A 19373-nucleotide genomic window follows, 5' to 3' on the forward strand; every position below is an offset into this window, starting at 1 on the left:
CTCTCTTTCTTTCTTATTTCTTTCTGACAAAGGGTATTGCAAAGCTGATAAAGGATATTGCAAAGGATGTAGATAAAGAGACCTGTAGGGTGAGGTATGCGGGAAGGGATCTGGAGCTTCCATGCCTTCTCTGGGTGCACCACCCTACAGGAACTTCCACATGTTCAGCTATCTGGAAGCTCTCTGAACCATGTCCTCTTGGGTGTTTATGGAGGAAGCTTCATGACATTAGCATTTTTTCCTGCAGGGTATAGGGTGGGACCCTCTCATGAGAGGAACATTAGAGTGAAAGGAGGGCAGGAGAAGGTCAGAGGCCTGCCCCTGAGGCCTAACATACTCCACATTATAACAAAAGACTGTAACAAGGGCTATGTGAGTTATGAGCCAGGAACCATGGACAAAAATCAATATATATCATAACACCACAGCCACCCCCGGTATTTTGACTAGAGAACCTTTATATCTATCTATCATCTATCTACCTACCTATCTCTTATCATCTACACACACAATTAATAATTAATCCAGTCCATCATATTGTATGAATGTCACCCAAGATGAGGCCACTCAGGTTTGCAGATTTCTTCTCAATCTTGTCAGGTTTCAAAAGCAGGAGTGACCTTCATAAAGATACAGCTTCGGGGTGGTTCCAAGATGGCCGAATAGGAACAGCTCCAGTCTACAGCTCCCAGTGTGAGCAATGCAGAAGACAGTTGATTTCTGCATTTCCAACTGAGGTACTGGGTTCATCTCACTGGGGATTGTCGGACAGTGGGTGCAGGACAGTGGGTGCAGCCCACTGAGTATGAGCCGAAGCAGGGAAAGGCATCACCTCGCCCGGGAAGCACAAGGGGTCAGGGAATTCCCTTTCCTAGCCAAGGAAAGGAGTGACAGATGGCACCTGGAAAATCGGGTCACTCCCACCCTAATACTGCGCTTCTCCAATGGTCTTAGCAAACAGCACACCAGGAGATTATATCCCTCACCTGGCTCGGAGGGTCCTACACCCACAGAGCCTCATTCATTGCGAGTGCAGCAGTCTGAGATCAAACTGCAAGGCAGCAGTGGGGCTGGGGTAGGGGCGCCCACCATTGTAGAGACTTGAGCAGCCGGGAAGCTCGAACAGGGTGGAGCCCACCGCAGCTCAAGGAGGTCTGCCTGCCTCTGTAAACTCCACCTCTGGGGGCAGGGCATAGCCAAACAAAAGGCAGCAGAAAACTCTGCAGACTTACTGCAGACTTAAATGTTCCTGTCTGACAGCTTGGAAGACAGTAGTGGTTCTCCCAGCACACAGCTTGAGATCTGAGAACGGACAGACTGCCTCCTCAATTGGGTCCCTGACCCCTGAGTAGCCTAACTGGTAGGCACCCCTCAGTAGGGGCAGACTGACACCTCACATGGCTGGGTACCCCTCTGAGACAAAACTTCCAGAGGAATGATCAGGCAGCAACATTTGCTGTTCAGCAATATTCGCTGTTCTGCAGCCTCTGCTGCTGATACCCAGGCAAACAGGGTCTGGAGTGGACCTCTGGCAAACTCCAACAGACCTGCAGCTGAGGGTCCTCACTGTTAGAGGGAAAACTAACAAACAGAAAGGACATCCACACCCCATCTGTATGTCACCATCATCAAAGACCAAAGGTAGATAAAACCACAAAGATGGGGAAAAAACAAAGCAAAAAACTGAAAATTCTAAAAATCAGAGCACCTCTCGTCCTCCAAAGAAACGCAGCTCCTCACCAGCAACAGAACAAAGCTGGATGGAGAATGACTTTGACGAGTTGAGAGAAGAAGGCTTCAGACGATCAAACTTCTCCGAGCTAAAGAAGGAAGTTCGAACCCATGGCAAAGAAGTTAAAAACCTTGAAAAAAGATTAGACGAATGGCTAGCTAGAATAACCAATGCAGGGAAGTCTTTAAAGGACCTGATGGAGCTGAAAACCATGGCATGAGAACTACGTGATGAATGCACAAGCTTCAGTAGCTGATTTGATCAACTGAAAGAAAGGGTATCAGTGACAGAAGATCAAATGAATGAAATGAAGCAAGAAGAGAAGTTTAGAGAAAAAAGAATAAAAAGAGGCTGGGAGCGGTGGCTCATGCCTGTAATCCCAGGACTTTGGGAGGCTGAGGTGGGCGGATCACCTGAGTTCGAGAGTTCGAGGCCAGCCTGACTAACATGGAGAAACCTCATCTCTACTAAAAAATACAAAATTAGCCGTGTGTGGTGGTGTGTGCCTGTAATCCCACCTTCTCAGGGGGCTGAGGCAGGAGAATCACTTCAACCCAGGAGGTGGAGGTTGTGGTGAGCTGAGATCGTGCTATTGCACTCCAGCCTGGGCAACAAGAGTGAAATTCCGTCTCAAAAAAAAAAAAGAATAAAAAGAAATGAATGAAGCCTCCAAGAAACATGGGACTATGTGAAAAGAACAAATCTACGTGGGATTGGTGTGCCTGAAAGTGACGGGGAGAATGGAACCAAGTTGGAAAACACTCTGCAAGATATTATCCAGGAGACCTTCCCCAATCTAGCAAGGCAGGCAAGCATTCAAATTCAGGAAATACAGAGAACGCCACAAAGATCCTCCTCAAGAAGAGCCACTCCAAGACACATAATTGTCAGATTCACCAAAGTTGAAATGAAGGAAAAAACGTGAAGGGCAGGCAGAGAGAAAGGTCGGGTTACCCACAAAGGGAAGCCCATCAGACTAACAGCAGATCTCTCGGCCGAAACTCTACAAGCCAGAAGAGAGTGGGGGCCAATATTTGACATTCTTAAAGAAAAGAATTTTCAACCCAGAATTTCATATCCAGCCAAACTAAGCTTCATAAGTGAAGGAGAAATAAAATACTTTACAGACAAGCAAATTCTGAGCTACTTTGTCACCACCAGGCCTGCCCAACAAGAGCTCCTGAAGGAAGCACTAAACATGGAAAGGAACAACTGGTGCCAGCCACTGCAAAAACATGTCAAATTGTAAAGACCATCGAGGCCTGGAAGAAACCGCATCAACTAACGAGCAAAATAACCAGCTAACATCATAATGACAGGATCAAGTTCACACATCACAATATTAACCTTAAATGTAAACGGGCTAAATGCTCCAATTAAAAGACACAGACTGGCAAATTGGATAAAGAGTCAAGACCCATCAGTGTGCTGTATTCAGGAAACCCATCTCATGTGCAGAGACACACATAGGCTCAAAATAAAGGGATGGAGGAAGATCTACCAAACAAATGGAAAGCAAAAAAAGGCAAGGGTTGCAATCCTAGTCTCTGATATAACAGAGTTTAAACCAACAAAGATCAAAAGAGACAAAGAAGGCCATTACATAATGGTAAAGGGATCAATTCAACAGGAAGAGCTAACTGTCCTAAATATATATGCACCCAATACAGGAGCACTCAGATTCATAAAGCAAGTCCTTAGAAACCTACAAAGAGACTTAGACGCCGATGCAATAATAACGGGAGACTTTAACACCCCACTGTCAATATTAGACAGATCAATGAGACAGAAAGTTAACAAGCATATCCAGGAATTGAACTCAGCTCTGCACCAAGCGGACCTAGTAGACATCTGCAGAACTCTCCACCGCAAATCAGCAGAATATACATTCTTCTCAGCACCACACCGCACTTATTCCAAAATTGACCACATAGTTGGAAGTAAAACACTCCTCAGCAAATGTAAAAATAATAAAGGGGATATCACCACCAATCCCACAGAAATAGAAACTACCATCAGAGAATACTATAAACACCTCTACGCAAATAAATGAGAAAATCTAGAAGAAATGGATAAATTCCTGGACACATACACCATCCCAAGACTAAATCAGGAAGAAGTTAAATCCCTGAAGTGACCCATAATAGGCTCTGAAATTGAGACAATAATTAATAGCCTACCAAACAAAAAAAGTCCAGGACCAGACGGATTCACTGCCGAATTCTACCAGAGGTATAAGGGGGAGCTGTTATCATTCCTTCTGAAACTATTCCAATCAATAGAAAAAGAGAGAATCCTCCCTAACTCATTTTATGAGGCCAGCATCATCCTGATACCAAAGCCTGGCAGAGACACAACAAAGAAAGAGAATTTTAGACCAATATCCCTGATGAACATTGATGCAAAAATCCTCAATAAGATACTGGCAAACCAAATCCAGCAACACATCAAAAAGCTTATCCACCATGATCAAGTGGGCTTCATCCCTGGGATGCAAGGCTGGTTCAACATATGCAAGTCAATAAATGTAATCCAGCATATAAACAGCAGCAAAGACAAAAACCACATGATTATCCCAATAGATTCAGAAAAGACCTTTGACAAAATTCAACAGCGCTTCATGCTAAAAACTCTCAATAAATTAGGTATTGATAGGACATATCTCAAAATAATAAGAGCTATTCATGACAAACCCACAGCCAATATCATACTGAATGGACAAAAACTGGAAGCATTCCCTTTGAAAACTGGCACAAGACAGGGATGCCCTCTCTCACCACTCCTTTTCAACATAGTGTTGGAAGTTCTGGCCAGCACAATCAGGCAGGAGAAAGAAATAAAGGGTATTCAATTAGGGAAAGAGGAAGTCAAATTGTCCCTGTTTGCAGATAACATGATTGTTTATTTAGAAAACCCCATTGTCTCAGTCCAAAATCTCCTTAAGCTGATAAGCAACTTCAGCAAAGTCTCAGGATACAAAATCAATGTGCAAAAATCACAAGCATTCTTATACACCAATAACAAACAGAGAGCCAAATCATGAGTGAACTCCCATTCACAATTGCTTCAAAGAGAATAAAATACCTAGGAATCCAACTTACAAGGGATGTGAAGGACCTCTTCAAGGAGAACTACAAACCACTGCTCAACAAAATAAAAGAGGATACAAACAAATGGAAGAACATTCCATGTTCATGGGTAGAAAGAATCAATATCGTGAAAATGGCCATACTGCCCAAGGTAATTGATAGATTCAGTGGCATCCCCATCAAGCTACCAATGACTTTCTTCACAGAATTGGAAAAAACTACTTTAAGGTTCATATGGAACCAAAAAAGAGCCCGCATTGGCAAGTCAATCCTAAGCCAAAAGAACAAAGCTGGAGGCATCACACTACCTGACTTCAAACTATACTACAAGGTTACAGTATTCAAAATAGCATGGTACTGGTACCAAAACAGAGATATAGACCAATGGAACAGAACAGAGCCCTCAGAAATAATATCACACATCTACAACCATCTGATCTTTGACAAACCTGACAAAAACAAGAAATGGGGAAAGGATTCCCTGTTTAATAAATGGTGCTGGGAAAACTGGCTAGCCATATGTAGAAAGCTGAAACTGGATCCCTTTCTTACACCTTATACAAAAATTAATTCAAGATGGATTAAAGACTTAAATGTTAGACCTAAGACCATAAAAACCCTGAAGAAAACCTAGGCAATACCATTCAGGTCATAGGCATGGGCTAGGACTTCATGTCTAAAACACCAAAAGCAGTGGCAAGAAAAGCCAAAATTGACAAATGGGATCTAATTAAACTAAAGAGCTTCTGCACATCAAAAGAAACTACCATCAGAGTGAACAGGCAACCTACAGAATGGGAGAAAATTTTTGCAATCTACTCATTTGACAAAGGGCTAATATCCAGAATCTACAAATAACTCAAACAAATGTACAAGAAAAATACATACAACCCCATCAACGAGTGGGGGAAGGATATGAACAGACACTTCTTAAAAGAAGACATTTATGCAGCCAGCAGACACATGAAAAAATGCTCATCATCACTGGCCATCAGAGAAATGCAAATCAAAACCACAATGAGATACCATCTCACACCAGTTAGAATGGCGATCATTAAAAAATCAGGAAACAACAGGTGCTGGAGAGGATGTGGAGACATAGGAACACTTTTACACTGTTGGTGGGAGTGTAAACTAGTTCAACCATTGTGGAAGTCAGTGTGGTGATTCCTCAAGGATCTAGAACTAGAAATACCATTTGACCCAGCCATCCCATTACTGGGTATATACCCAAAGGATTATAAATCATGCTGCTATAAAGACACATGCACACATATGTTTATTGTGGCACTATTCACAATAGCAAAGACTTGGAACCAACCCAAATGTCCAATAATGATAGACCGGATTAAGAAAATGTGGCACATATACACCATGGAACACTATGCAGCCATAAAAAAGGATGAGTTCATGTCCTTTGTAGGGACATGGATGAAGCTGGAAACCATCATTCTCAGCAAACTATCACAAGGACAAAAAACCAAACACCGCATGTTCTCACTCATAGGTGGGAATTGAACAATGAGAACAACTGGACACAGGAAGGGGAACATCACACACTGGGGCCTGTTGTGGGGTGGGGGGAGGAGGGAGGGATAGCATTAGGAGATATACCTAATGTAAATGATGAGTTAATGGGTGCAGCACACCAACATGGTACATGTATACATATGTAACAAACCTACACGTTGTGCACATGTACCCTAAATCTTAAAGTATAATTAAAAAAAAATACTCATTGGATAGGAAAAAAAAAAAACAAGATACAGCTTCACCCATTCAGGCATCTGGGATAACTGATCTAAGAGACAATATCTTCTTGCTCTGAGAGTCTTGAATTGTTAATGTAATATTGAATTTTCCTTAATAAATAACCCATATATTTATTTCTTTACTATCTGCTACAATTTCTCTTTCTTTCCATTAATATCCAAACTTTTTCACCTTTGGAAGGAACATTAGAATCACCACTGTGCTGGGGTCTTTATTGCAGGTAGCAATACAAGTGCAGCAAGCAGCTGCTCCTCAGTCCACAGGCATTCAGACAGGGTAATGTTATGTAGGTGCAGAATGAGTGAGCTATTTTTACTACCAGGCAATATAGCTGCATTCACTGTTAGCCCCAGTTTTGGTAGATGGAGAGAAGGCACAACTCACCCATGTGCCCTTAGGAATTTTGACAGAAGGTTAAAAACATAGTTACAGTTTTTGCTCAGAAATTTCCCTGCTGTTCCACCACTTGCAGTGGCAGTTCTGGTCCTAGTGAGAGGTGAATCCAGCTGGGCTTCTGAGTCTGGTGGGGACTTGGAGAACTGTTCTGTCTAGCTAAAGGATTGTAAACGCACCAATCAGCACTCTGTAAAAACGGACCAATCAGCACTCTGTAAAATGGACCAATCAGCAGGATGTGGGCGGGGCCAAATAAGGGAATAAAAGCTGGCCACCCGAGCCAGCAGCTGCAACCTGATGGGGTCACCTTACATACCTTGGAGGATTTGTTCTTCTGCTCTTCACAATAAATCTTGCTGCTGCTCAGTCTTTTCGTCCACACTACCTTTATGAGCTGTAAAACTTACTAGGAAGGTCTGAGGCTTCACTCCTGAAGTCAGTGACACCACGAACCCACCGGGAGGAACAAACAACTCCCGACGCTCCACCTTTTAGAGCTGTAACACTCACTGTAAAGGTCTGCAGCCTCACACCTGAAGTCAAGTGAGACCACGAACCCACCAGAAGGAAGAAACTCTGGACACATCTGAACATCTGAAGGAACGAATTCCGGATACACCATCTTTAAGAACTGTAACACTCACCGCGAGGGTCCGCAGCTTCATTCTTGAACTCAGTGAGACCAAGAACACACTGGAAGGATCCAATTCCAGACACACTAGGACCACTGCATCAGGTAGGGAGAAAAAATATTTTTTATTTTTTCTGAGGTGATTTGGGGAAGAAAGAAAAAATTATAGTCATTGTATCAGTATATGCCTCGCTTGGCAAGAACTGCATAGTCATACCAGCATGCTCCCCGGCCCCTCTTCCCCAGATCACCAGAAAAACAGAAAAAAATCTAGCAGGGACACTCTAGTCCTACTGACCATGAGTGTGAGCAGACTCTTGAAGGTGTGTAAGTCAGCTCTTCATGCTTTTATTTCCCCCTGATTTAGACAACCAGTGTTTCCATTGCTTGCTCTACTTCTCTATCAAACTATTACTCTAAGGAGGATCTGTGCCTATTGTTGGATATTATAGGCTATACAGTGTATTCCTTGGTCTTGGAAAATGATGGCTAGCCATCCATATCCATGCAATATATTCTATTCGGTTTTTTTTTTTTTTAATGGCACTTGGAGCATTTTCGTCTTCAGTTGGATACGCAAAGCCCACTCCATAGCCAGTGTCTATTCCTGTCAAGACTCATTTGTAGTCCCCCAGGGCTACTAGCATCTGTCTCACTTTCCAGCTATGTTCAGGGCCTTCCCAACAGAGAATCTGTCCCATAGCCATCAGCAGTCACTGTCTCTCTTGCTGAGAAACAACAGTTCTTTCTGGCATTTTGTGCCTGAGAAGGTGCAAAAGAAACATGTCTACATTCAGCCCGTCTCTGCTCTGTTACAATACCCCCATATCCACTCATTTCAAGGACCCAGGTGGCCACTTCAAGGGAGTACATGGGGATATCTGCTTGTCGATTCCGGTCACTTTCTGAACCTGGAAGGGAGTTCTTCAGATGAGCATTGACTTGTTCTTCTTTAATACACCCCTCAAATTCTCCACAGGACCATCCTCCATATGTGCATCCATTTAATAGGCCAGATTTCCATGGCCATCTTGCCTGAGTGTAATGGCCAGGCCATGGGTCACTGGCCATGGGTCAGTAAACACCCAAACTCAGGGGTTTTTACCACTGATCAATTCTTCCATCACTGTTAGAAAAACAGCATGCAATTCAGCCCACTGAGCAGACCTGTTTTTACCTTCTTGACCAAAGTAGCTGCCTTCCAAATAGGTGGTGTCCATTTACCCTGGAATTGCATCCACAAACCAAGTGGCTGTTGGTTAGTCAATCGAGAGCTGTTTATCAGGCACTGTAGAATCCAGCAGTTTCTCACACAGTTCCAGATTCAGTCTTAGGGGAAAGGAAACACCCTGCTCAAGAGTATCCCTTCCTGGCATTTCCCGGGTAGCATGATCCTCTATAAACCATGTCCATTTTATTATGGAACTCTCCTGGGCACTACCATCCCCATTAGACTATTTCTCTGACACCACCCAAGACAACATGGGTATCTCAGGTGTCACAGGGGTAGCTTCAGCTAACATTTCATAGCAAGCCCTCTCAAGTGGAAATTCTCTAGTCCAAAGTCCCAGTAGATTTTGCTGGGAGGTGCTCGGAGGCTTTTGCCATAAGGCCTAGGGAATGCTTCACAGAAGGTTATCAAGGGAAGAATTTATCCCTACTGTCACTCTAGCTTCTACTCTGTACTGTGCAGACTTTGAAAGTTTTACTGGTTCTCATTTAGCATGTCCAATTAATACTGCTTGAAGGGCAGATTTACATGCCATCTGTTTTACAGTACCAGGTGGGGGAAACATCTAATCAGATACAATGTTCAAATACATCAACTTTCAGAAGCCCATCAACTTTTGCATTTTTAATTTTCTAGTTTCAGTAGCTTCTCCACCTTCAGACTATTTTACCTTCTTGTGTGCAAAAAGCTTTGTGCAAAAATCCCCAGCCAAGGATTAAGCCAAAGGACCCTGGCCCTTTTGTCAACATTTGTCTTGATTACTCTGCCCAATTATTGCCACCGGCAGTTTCAGATCAGATTTTTTATTGTAACCTCTGCCTTCTAGCTTTTTGAGTTTCTTCAAACTGGTTTGGGGCCTTTTAGTGTTGGGGGTCCAGAAGGGGTTCCCTTTGGCCCACCCAGTCTTCGATAGTATTATATTAAGACCTTTGTTATAACCCCATCAATTTCCATCTTACTCATTTCCATTTCTTAATAACCGTCTAAAGATTTCCACCCTGCTGGGATGAGTCCCATGACTCTCCCCTTTCTTTTTCTTCTAGTTTCACCTCATCAATGTTTTTTTTATTCACCTTATTTCTTAATAACCTTTTAAAAATTTCCACCTTCCTGGGATGAGTCCTTTGACTCTCCCTTTTGCCTTTCACCATTCTCTTATTAATTAACCTAATTTTTTTTTCTTTTTTGAGACAGTCTCATTCTGTCACCCAGGCTGGAGTGCAGTGGCACAATCTCGGCTCACTGCAACCTCCATCTCCCAAGTTCAATAGATTCTTGTGCCTCAGCATCCTGAGTAACTGGGATTACAGGCATGTGCCACGATGGTCAGCTAATTTTTTTTTTTTTTTTTTTTTGTATTTTTTGGTAGAGACAGAGTTTTGCCATGTTGTCTAGGCTGGTCTAGAACTCCTGACCTCAAGTGATCCACCTGCCTTGGCCTCCCAAAGTGCTGGGATTATAGGTGTGAGCCACTGTGCCTGGTCTAATTAACCTAATGTTTTTATTAGCATCTGTAAGACCCATGAGCGGAAACTGAGACAGAAAATTTGATAAGGCTTCTAGAAATATTGTTTGACTTACATGCCTTCTGTTTTACAGTACCAGGTAGGGGAAACATTCCCCAATCAGATACAATGTTCATTCCCATAATAAAACCAGGTAATGATTTTAAGGGGCCCTCTTCTGCAGGAGTAATGTCATGTGGGATGCCCAGGTAGAAGGGGCCTCTTTAACCACAACATTTACCATAACCTGCGTAATGGGCATATTCAGTGGTGAATATCCCCGTCATCATAAAGCCAGTCCCACATGGCTTACATAAAAAACATATCAACTGCCTCATCTGGGGTGCTCCACTTGGCATTTATAGGTAGAGTTGGACAGTTCCCCTTTTCAGGGTAAACAGACGTTACAGTGGATTTTATCCAGTCCACCAGGCTGGCTATTCACTGAGGAATTACCTCCTGTGTATCTGGATTGTATACACCCATCTGCGATTGTTCAATGGTGAGTTGTGGGTCTTACATAAACCCAGACATGCTATTCCACTCTGCAGCATTTAAAATCAAAGCTACTGCCCCTAAATTTGATACTCTCATAGTCCATTTTAGTAAAAGTTTCTCAGGAAGTTGATATCAATCTACAAAATGGAACAATTCCTTCACATTATATCCTCTGGTTTCAACTGTTACCTGGTTTTGCGTTTGATTATGTTATTGGTAATCATAGGTTTCAGGGCTACTTTCTGTTGTCACTGCACAATTTTCTCTTTTGTGGGTGACTTTGAGGCTAGTGGCCTGTGCTCAGACAGACCTACATCTGAGCTTAGTCCAGCCTGGAGTCCTGAACCAGCACCTTCTTTTACTTTCATTTTAGCCAGGATAGATAATAGTAACCAAGGGATTGAATATTTTGCTTTATCTCTTATTAGTTTGCATTTTCTTAGGCATCCACCACTGAACCAGTTCCTGGGGAGTTGAATCCATCTCGAGATTCCACTGGTAACGTTCACCTTTAGTAACTGATCTCAGTACAGCTACTGGCTTCATATGACAGGTGACCACATGGCCACTCAGGAATCAAAAGTTCCTCATCCCCCACCCTTTTATCCTTTCTCTTCCCAAACCACATGTTTCCATGAGTCAAAGACAATTCGAGCAAATTCCATTTTACTGACACCAATATGTGTAGGGAATACTCTCCTCAAACTGTGCTTTTCCTTTACTCTCACACCACAACAATCGTCAAAACAGGAGACTTCTGTGACCAATTGTGTGGAGGGTTTTCCTACATATCAAGCAGTGGACACCAGCTGGGTGTCCTCTAATTCAGTTCTGACACTCTTTACCCAGAGATAATGTCAGATCCCACAGGTTGAGGCCTCAGTCTCCAAGACTGCCCCCTACCCACCAGTCCCAAGTCCCGGCCTATGGAACTTCTGACTGACCGGCTTCAGGTTGGGGTTCCTGTGACCCCGTCATTGGGTTTGACTAATTTGCTGAAGAAGCTCACAGAACTCAGGAAAACACTGTGTTTACTAGTTTATTATAAAGGATATTGATGAAGAAAGGCGTAGGGCGAGGTATGGGGGAAGCAAGGTATGAGCCACCCTCTGAACCTCCACGTGTTCAGCTATGTGGAAGCTCCTTCATTTTTCTATTACCTGAAGCAACTTGTATGAGATACAAATTATCTTTTTCTTGAAAGTTTTGTGAAGTATACCTATACATTTTTGTCCAGGAGAATCTTTAAAACCTACCAGTTATTTTATTTGTGAGAAAGGTGGTAAGAGAAGTCATATTTGTATTAACCTATAAATGAATAAAATGTCTTTGGAAGTACTCATGAGTTAATGAAACCATTGGACTGCCTTTGAGAGAGATATTGGGTAGTTGGAGGAGAGATGAGAAAAAGTTTTTAGTATAATCATTTGGAGTAGTTTAAATTTAACCCATGGGAATGTACCATCTTTTGAAATTAACAAAATAAAATATGTAAAAATGAAAAGTATGGACTAAAACTTACACTATTATTTTATGATTTTAAGGATTTCCTTATTTCTGCTTAGGCTCCCCTTTTCATTCCTAATACTGCTTTTTTTTTTTCTTTTTCTTTTTTGAGACAGAGTCTCGCTCTGTCACCCAGGCTGGAGTGCAGTGGTGCAATCTCGGCTCACTACAACCTCAGCCTCCCAGGTTCAAGTGATCCTCCTGCCTCAACCTCCCTAGTAGCTGGGATTACAGGGGTGTGCCACCACACCTGGCTAATTTTTATATTTTTAGTAGAGACAGGTTTCACCTGACCTCAGGTGATCTTCCCACCTCGGCCTCCCAAAGTGCTGGGATTAGAGGCATGAGCCACTGTGCTCGGACCTAATATTGCTTATTTTTGTGACTTCTTTCTTTTATCCTTTTTTTGCCTTGATTGCTAACAGCTTACTTATTTTGTTAAACTTTTTGAACGCTAGCTTTAAGATTCTCTATTCTTTTATTTTTTATTTTTTTGAGACGGAGTTTCGCTCTCGTTGCCCAGGCTGGAGTGCAATGGCGTGATCTCGGCTCACTGCAACCCCCGCCTCCCGGGTTCAAGCAATTCTCCTGCCTCAGCCTCCTGAGTAGCTGGAATTACAGGCACCTACCACCACGCCTGGCTAATTTTTTTTTTGTATTTTTAGTAGAGATGGGGTTTCACCATGTTGGCCAGGCTGGTCTTAAACTCCTGACCTCAGGTGATCTGCTCACCTCGGCCTCCCAAAGTGCTGGGATTACAGGCGTGAGCCACTGTGCCTGGCCCAGATTCTCTATTCTTTTCTGCTGCTTGTTTGCTATTTCTTCAGTTTCTGGGTGTAGCTTTATTATTTTCTGTCTGCTACTTTGTTGGGTTTTCTCACTCTCTAATTTGTATACTTACTTAACAAATGTAGTTCTCCTTCCCCTGCCTCATACTTCCCTTAAATGCAGTTAAGACTTTAAATTTTCTTCTATATCAGGGGTTCCACTATTGGTCCATGGCCTGTTAGGAACCATTTCTCACAGCAGGAGGTGAGTGGCAGGAGAGTGAGTGAAGCATCATCTGTATTTATAGCCGCTCCCCATCACTTGCATTACCACCTGAGCTCCACCTCCTGTCAGATCAGTGGCAGCATTAGATTCTCACAGGAGCACAAATCCTATTGTGAACTGCGCATGTGAGGGATTTAGGTTGTGTACTCTTTATGAGAATCTAATGCCTGATGAACTGTCACTGTCTCCCATCACTCCCAGATGGGACTGTCTAGTTGCAGGAAAACAAGCTCAGGGCTCATACTGATTCTACATTATGATGAGTTGTATACTTATTTAATTATATATTACAATGTAATAATAATGAAATAAAGTGCACAATAAATGTAACGTGCTTGAATCATCCCAAAACCACACCCCTGACCCTGGTCCATAGAAAACTTGTCTTCCACAAAACCAGTCCCTGGTGCCAAAAACATTGGGGACTGCTACTCTAGATGTACTCTGGGTGCACCCCCCCACCCCCAGGTTTTAGTATACGGTAGTTTACTTTATTTTTAACTGTCATTTTTATTGTTCATTTTCACAAGTTAAAAAATTCTTTTGTTTATGTAAATTAATCATTTATTAACACCACACTCTAAAAAACTGAGCTAACCAACTATATAAGTTAGACTTTCAAAATCAGTAGATTGTAGATACTGTATCTTATTTTTGTGTACCACATTATTAAATAAAACAATAGATAAATTATTCTGATGTGGCAACAAAGGAAATGAAATCAATCTATGTATTTTGATACCTCAGTTAAGTTTCTCAGTTTAGAAAAATGATACAAAACAAAAACTTGCATACAACCTCAGCTGTCATTGCTGTTATGTCACAAAATATCTTAGACTACAGTTTTTTTCAGGGTCAAAGACGTGATGGCTCAGAGTTTTGTCTCATTCCTAGATTATTCTTTTTGCAGTGTTTTCCTTTCTTTGAGTTCTTTAAGCTTTCTTCTCTTTATTAATGTCACCAAAACCAGGAAAAATCTGAGAATCTATCATTGATACTCACTTGCTGTCTGATTACATTTAATCTGAAGCTAATTTGCATTTTAATCATCTATCTGCGTTTAAATTCTATTCTTTGTGAGTTTTATTTTTTATTTTATTATTATTTTTTTGACATGGAGTCTCACTGTGTCTCCCAGGCTGGAGTGGAGTGGCGCGATCTCAGCTCACTGCAAGCTCCGCCTCAGGGTTCACACCATTCTCCTGCCTCAGCCTCCTGAGTAGCTGGGACTACAGGTGCCCGCCACCACGCCCAGCTAATTTTTCTATTTTTAGTAGAGATGGGGTTTCACCATGTTAGCCAGGATGGTCTCGATATCCTGACCTCGTGATCTGCCCGCCTCGGCCTCCCAAAGTGCTGGGATTACAGGTGTGAGCCACCGCGCCCGGCCTCTTTGTGAGTTTTAAAAGTATCTGCAAGAGGTGAGAATATATTAAGGTGAGAGTCAGTGAGGCCCCTGAGACCTCAGGAAGCATATGAAACCAAAACCCCCAGAAAGAAGCCTGGAGTTTGTCTTTAGTAACTCGAAATGCAGAACCAGAATATATTGAGTTCTTTCTTCCTTTGCCCTCAACTCAGTTCCTTTGAGGAGACTGTTCAAGCAAGAGCCAAGTTTCAAGAGCTTCTGAGGATGCCAAATGCCATCTGTGGCCTCACTATCTCACTGCAGTTGTGTCTATTAGAATGTATCCTTCCCTCCTTGCTACTTTTTTTTTTGCCTAATCAGAGGGCCTCTTCTTTGACCCAATCCTTGCCAGTTTTTTCTTTTCTTTTTCTTTTTCTCTTCCTTTCCTTTCCTTTTATTTTATTTTTATTTATTTATTTATTTTTGAGACAGCATCTTACTCTGTCGCCTAGGCTGGAGTGCAGTGTGGTGATCTCGGCTCACTGCAACCTCCACCTTCCCAGGTTCAAGCGATTCTTGTGCCTCAGCCTCCCTAGTAGCTGGGATTTTATAGGCACACACCACCACGCCCAGCTAATTTTTGTATTTTTAGTAGAGACGGGGTTTCTCCATGTTGGCCAGGCTGGTCTCTAACTCCTGACCTCAAGTGATCCACCTGCCTCAGATCCCAAAATGCTGGGATTACAAGCATGAACCATTGTGCCCAGCCAGATTTACCTTTAGTACAATTCAAGAGACATAATGTTGATGACATAATGTTGATAATTTGCTATGCACAAAGCACTATGACAAACACTATTCTAATTATTAGTTTGTAGTAAAACTTTTAGAGTGTTTAGGAATGTATGTAAACCATTTCTAATTCCAGATTTGACATTTCTTACTAAAGTGCACTGGCACGTTACTTTGTTACTATGTTTCCTACTTTTTGTGTGTGTCTGTGGTGGGGGTGGTGTTGCTCATACTGCTTCGCATTATAGTAAGGTTTATGTCAATTATTTCCTCTGTTGTATTTTTAACTCCTTGAGGAGACTACATCTTTGTATTTAACACAGCAATTAGAAACAGGTCCTTACACTTTGTAGGTACTTAAATGCATGAACATAAAAGCATCGATAAATAGTGAAAGCTTTTATTTCCTCATTGCTCCTGTAGACATTGATAATATCAGAAACTTTGAGAGATATTTGATGAATATCTCTATTCGTAGTGCTTACTGGTAAATGTTTAACAAGCAGCTTTCTAAAAAAAGTATGCATGTATGTATATGTTTATTATAAAGTTTATTGATACATACAATGTGTAGCACAACTTAGAAATAATAATAAAATATATAGTGCTTTTAATATAGCCAATTGATTCTCACAGAATTCTTTTTGAGTTTTTTTTTTTTTTTTTACCAGCCTCCTGTATCCATAGTTTCCCTATGGTTGTAGTTGATGAACATGATGTGGTTAATCATGAATGTTGGTTGATAACATTTGTTTACATTAACTAGTAAGAACGAAGTGAAAAAGAAAAGACTGATGTTAAAACATCACTTGTTTGTCAATTATGTGTGTGACTTTTTTGCTGAATTAGGTGAGTTTTCAAATACTGGGAGAATATTTCTCCAATTTTTTGGTGCTACTTACAATATGACATAACATGACACACTTTAATCTGCATTATTAACATTTTCTCCATGCTTTTCTTGTCTATTATCAAAACAAGAAATCAAGGCTTGATTTGTAGTGTTTCCAAAAATAAACAGGAGTAATTTCTCTTTTTCTAAGTACCTTGTTAGATATACATGATATTTATCAGTTAGTAGCATAAATATGAATTTGCTGGCTGAAAATTATTACTCTTGCTGTATATGTATGTTTGTATGTTTTGATGTGTGTGCAGATACATAGTTAAGTTGGCCTACCGTATTACTTTTTCACTTATCAATTGTTCCTATAAACAAAAAGGTGAATTCTACTATGGTGTGAGACTGTCAGATATTTCATCCTGATTAGTTATAGTAAATCACTTTCCCTTTCTAGGCCTCTGATTTCTCATCTATAAACTTGTGAGATTGAATTAGATTATCTCTAATGTTTCCTTCAGACTCTGTTATTCATGGTGATGACAGATTACTGTTTTTACATGTTTGCCGTTTATCCTGTGAAAGGCTGATAATTCTCCATTCTGTGATGGCAGGCTTCACCGACCAATGGTGTTTTTTTCTGTGCACTTCAGAGGTTTAGCGATGTCAGGCTTTGCTAAATGACTTGCTTTAGCTAATGGACTCTAAGCAGAAATGATGTCTGCTATTACTGACCAGCAGCACTAAGGGCCATCTGTGGCTCTGCCTTCTCTTTTCCCACTGCCACAACAATGACAAAGCTCCACATGAAGACTGCTACTCTACCTAAATCACAAATGGAAAAGAAGGTGGAACACACAGGCAACCTCCCACTGACATGTAAAGTAACAAGATATTTGTTGTTGTAATCCCTGAGAGGATGGATTTTTGTTACTGCATCATAATTTTGCAAGACCTGGTTAGTATATGAAGTCATCAATAATTGAATTCATCAATAAAATTTTAAAAGTAATAATTTCCAATTAAAATTTCGTCTAAAATTCATAAACATATAAGTAATATATATAGACATTATAGAAATAAATTGTAAAGCAACTTTAAAATAAAACATAAGAATAAAATTTATGTTGAAGAAATTGACCTAAATATGTATGCACAACATTCCTTGAAATTTTTGCCTTGACAGTAACAAATGCTGTCGAAGAGGTGAAGAAAAGGAAACCCTTGTACACTATTGGTGGGAATGTAAATTAGTACAACCACTATGGAAAACAGTTTGAAGGTTCCTCAAAAAACCAAAAATTGAGCTACCATATGATCCAGAAATCCCACTGCTGGGTATATACCCAAAAGAAAGGAAAACAGTATATCGAAGAGATATCTGCACTCCCATATTTGTTGCAGCACTGTTCACAATAGCCCAAATTTAAAAGCAATGTAAGTGTCCATCAACAGATGAATGGATAAAGTGTGGTGCTTATACACAATGGAGTACTACTGAGTCATAAAAAGAATGGGATCCTGTCATTTGCCACAACATGGATGGAACTGGAGGTCATTATGCCAAGTGAAATAAGCCAGGCACAGAAAAGACAAACTTCACATGTTCTGATTTATTTGTGGGATCTAAGAATCAAAACAATTGAATTCACGGACATAGAGAGTAGAAGGATGGTTACCAGAGGCTGGGAAAAGTAGTGGGGGGCTGGGGACAATGGTTAATGGGTACAGAAAAAATAGAAAGAGTTAGACCTAGTAATCGATAGCACAATAGGGTCACTTTTTATAGTCAATAATAACTCGATAGTACATTAAAAATAATAAAAAGAATATAATTGGATTGTTTATAACACAAAGGATAAATTCTTGAGGGGATGGATACCCCATTTTACATGATGTGATTATTAAACATTGCATGCCTGCATTAAAACATCTCATGTACCCCATAATTGTATACACTTACTATGTACCCACAAAAATTAAAATTAAATATTAAAAAGAAATTTCTGCCTTGAATTACTGAATGGTTCTTCTAAGTAAAAATGGATATTTTTCAAAAGAAATTAATTATTACAATATTGCATGCCTACCCCCAAATGGCAATATTCCTTGGCAATTCTTAATTTCCAAAGATAAATTCAAGAGTAGGGCTTCTCCAGAAGTAATGTTTTGACTATATATTGCTTTTTGTCATTTTAAGCCTGGTTAAAGAAGCTAAAAAGTGTCTAAGTTTATCCATACTTCATTTATGGCACAAGAACATTGATTCATTTTTCTCTCTGCTCACTGTAGCAAAGAGAACCTGAAAGTAAGTTCTCTTTGCCTATGGCAGTGACTTATTCCCATGAACTTATGTCTTTAATATCATCAAGGTAATCTTTGCAGCAGTTTTACTACTTTATATGCTTTTCTTTTGTTTGTTCACTAACTTTCTTGTTTTTGAAACCAATTATGTCTTAAATATGTTTCTGAGGAGCAGCTACATGAGGCTTTAGAGACTTGCAGTTTTCATATTTATGTCTGACCTAAGATTTTGTCTCGGCATCATCACATGCCCCTGTGCTTCTGTGTGCAAAGTAAAATATTCCTGAATGACCATCACAAGTAAATTTATTATGGTTTTTAAAGATATAATTCACATGCCATATGATTCACCCACTTAAAGTGTACAATTCAAGGGTTTTTAGTATATTCACAGAGTTATGCATCCATCAACACAATTTTAGTACATTGTCATTACCCCCTCCAAAAAACCCACATTCCCTAGCCATCACCCTACAATCTCCTTTTCCTCTCCAGCATCAGGCAACTGCCAATCTACTTTCTGTAATTTTCCCACTCTTGAAAATTCATATAAATGAAATCATGGAATATGTGGTCCTTTGTGATAGGTTTTTCACTTAACGTGTTTTCAAGGTTTATGCATGTAGTGGCATGTATCATTACTTCATTTCTTTTTATTATTAAACAATATTTCATTG

At 40.7% G+C, this 19373-nt stretch overlaps 1 long non-coding RNA gene across 1 annotated transcript in view, besides 1 other annotated feature; it reads left to right on the forward strand.

Moving 5' to 3' along the window:
- The window catches only part of ANKRD17-DT (ANKRD17 divergent transcript), a 99858-nt gene that overhangs the window by 59605 nt on the left and 20880 nt on the right, over positions 1–19373 (forward strand). The window lies entirely within an intron of this gene.
- Positions 6975–8174: an enhancer, noted in NCBI's record as "BRD4-independent group 4 enhancer chr4:74191462-74192661 (GRCh37/hg19 assembly coordinates)". NCBI's record gives its function as "activates an origin of replication core promoter dependent on BRD2, P300/CBP, MED14 and CDK7 cofactors, and independent of BRD4, by STARR-seq in HCT116 cells {active_cell/tissue: HCT116}" and the evidence as "EXISTENCE:reporter gene assay evidence [ECO:0000049][PMID:35650434]".

The sequence above is a fragment of the Homo sapiens genome, chromosome 4 (assembly GCF_000001405.40).
Source record: "Homo sapiens chromosome 4, GRCh38.p14 Primary Assembly".
NCBI classification, from domain to species: Eukaryota; Metazoa; Chordata; class Mammalia; order Primates; family Hominidae; genus Homo; species Homo sapiens.